The sequence below is a fragment of the Homo sapiens genome, chromosome 21, assembly GCF_000001405.40.
Source record: "Homo sapiens chromosome 21, GRCh38.p14 Primary Assembly".
Lineage (NCBI taxonomy): Eukaryota > Metazoa > Chordata > Mammalia > Primates > Hominidae > Homo > Homo sapiens.
In genome coordinates this window covers 41,051,855-41,053,880 of record NC_000021.9, presented here as the reverse complement: position 1 = coordinate 41,053,880, position 2,026 = coordinate 41,051,855, and the positions used below count along the sequence as shown (strand labels likewise).

The following is a 2,026-nucleotide window of genomic DNA, read 5'->3' as shown; positions in this document are numbered from 1 at the left end:
ATTTGACTTTCCAAAAAGAAGTATTAGCATACAATTTTTCAGAAATATATGAAATATACCTACTATAATTATACAAAGTGATAGATATGCATTATATATGAGTTTAGAAATATGGTCTTTATTACACCCTCTTAGGATCAAGAACAGGGTCAAAAATGAGCCCTCACTCTGAATTCAAACCCCTACCCTAGATTCATTTGTAAGCCTTGCCTTCCCATCAGGCTTCCTGTACCCTAATTAGGCCCCAATTCTCCTATATTCCTTCTGTACAATCATTTCATAATGGTTGCATCTAAGCTACTAGTTTAAGAATCTAGATAATAACACATCTTGTACAGAATCATTGATAATAGCTGCATATTTATAATCTACGCCGTGAATGTTTTCATCTTTAGAAACACAATAACATATTGCTCATACCAATTTTGAGTCCCCTCATGATCTTACTTTCTTCTTAACTGCTGATTTCTTCGTGCTGCCGTGGCTGTAGCATCGTCAAAACACTGTCTGGTTTATCCAGCACGTCCCCATGGGACTCGTCCTGTGCCTGCTGCTCTTATCGCCTCCGATTCCATCAATGCTCATTCACCTCATTCAGCATTTACTGCATTTAGGAAACATATCCAAATGTCTCTGCTTTTATCTGGTACATTCCACACAGTCCACAGTCCACACTTTCTGTTGGTCAGTACTTACCTTTGTGAAGGTTTTTGTAGGATGCCTTCTGCTTTTCCTCGGCTCTGGGGAGGTGACATTTCTGCTCATGGTGAGGGCTCCCAGTGGTTGTCCTGCTGTCTGGGGCTGATGCAGCCTCACCGACTCCTCTCTGCAAGTCCATCAGCGTCCTCGCCCCATCCAGGGGTGCAGTGGGGACCATGGACAGAAGATTGGCTCATGGACAGTGACACAGCTGGTTTGCCCCGGTTAGCACTGGCTTAGCTCACCAGTCACACATTGAGTCAATTATTTCAACATTTTAAAAAATTACAACTGCGGTTAACTATTTTGTTCTATTCAAAGTTGATGTGAAATGTTTATTAGGATAAAATTTTGATATCAGCTTTGATCTGGCCACTTTCGGCAGGAAACAGGTAAAAGATCTGGGCTTAGCTAATATTTTTTCTGAAGATAATAAGCCATTTATCAGCAAATCAAAAACTTAAATAAAAGGTGGATATGGTGTGGTTTGCAAATACCTTGCAAAAGAAGTGTTCATCCTCAGGAGCTGAATGGATTCTCCCTGCACAAACCAGGGCAGGGGGACAAGACATTCTCCTTACAGGTTAGCCTGGTATGTCCCAGAGCGTGCAAACCACGCAGTCTCCTCCATTTGCCTTAATGCATGTCCTCTTTGGTTAAATGCCATTTTATGGCTAAATGTTATTGTTCTTTGAAATTGTGAAATGTTAATGGAAATAAACCATTAATACCAAGTCAAAGTTATAGATGAAATCCTACTTCGTGCTTTAGAGATACAAACTTAGAGCATTTACCATTGACATGGGGTCTGGAGAGGCGGTGAAGAGGCAAGATGATAGAATTTAAGCATATGCTCTACAAATGTTTATCTTTCTATTGTTATAGAAATGCACGCTTATTATAGAAAATTTCAAAAGTAAAAATAGCATGAGAAAGTATAATAAATCACCTTCAACTGGTAACCTTGGGACAACCTCTGTCAATATTTTGCCTATCTTTCTCCAGTCTTTTTTTTCTATATAATTTTTTGTTTTTAAACGTAGTTGAGAATGAACAAATGTATTAATCCTGACAGGCAAAAATAGTGGGCCGAAATCAACAAAATAAATTCAAATAAGGACGAATGGAAATTCTAACATTTTGTTCAATTAAGTATTTTTACTAACACAAATGTAGGGAGGCCTGGCTCAACGTAAGTTTAAGTGAAGGATATCATGGCTTTTTAGCTGGTTGCAAATTGAATGTGGGGGGAGTCTTGCCAGTAAAATCTTAAAATTAATGGAGATATACCTAATGCTATATGACGAGTTAATGGGTGCGGCACACC

The 2,026-nt window shown here is 38.8% G+C and overlaps 1 annotated feature.

Annotated features, from left to right (window-relative positions):
* Positions 228-1,427: an enhancer, noted in NCBI's record as "BRD4-independent group 4 enhancer chr21:42424381-42425580 (GRCh37/hg19 assembly coordinates)". NCBI's record gives its function as "activates an origin of replication core promoter dependent on BRD2, P300/CBP, MED14 and CDK7 cofactors, and independent of BRD4, by STARR-seq in HCT116 cells {active_cell/tissue: HCT116}" and the evidence as "EXISTENCE:reporter gene assay evidence [ECO:0000049][PMID:35650434]".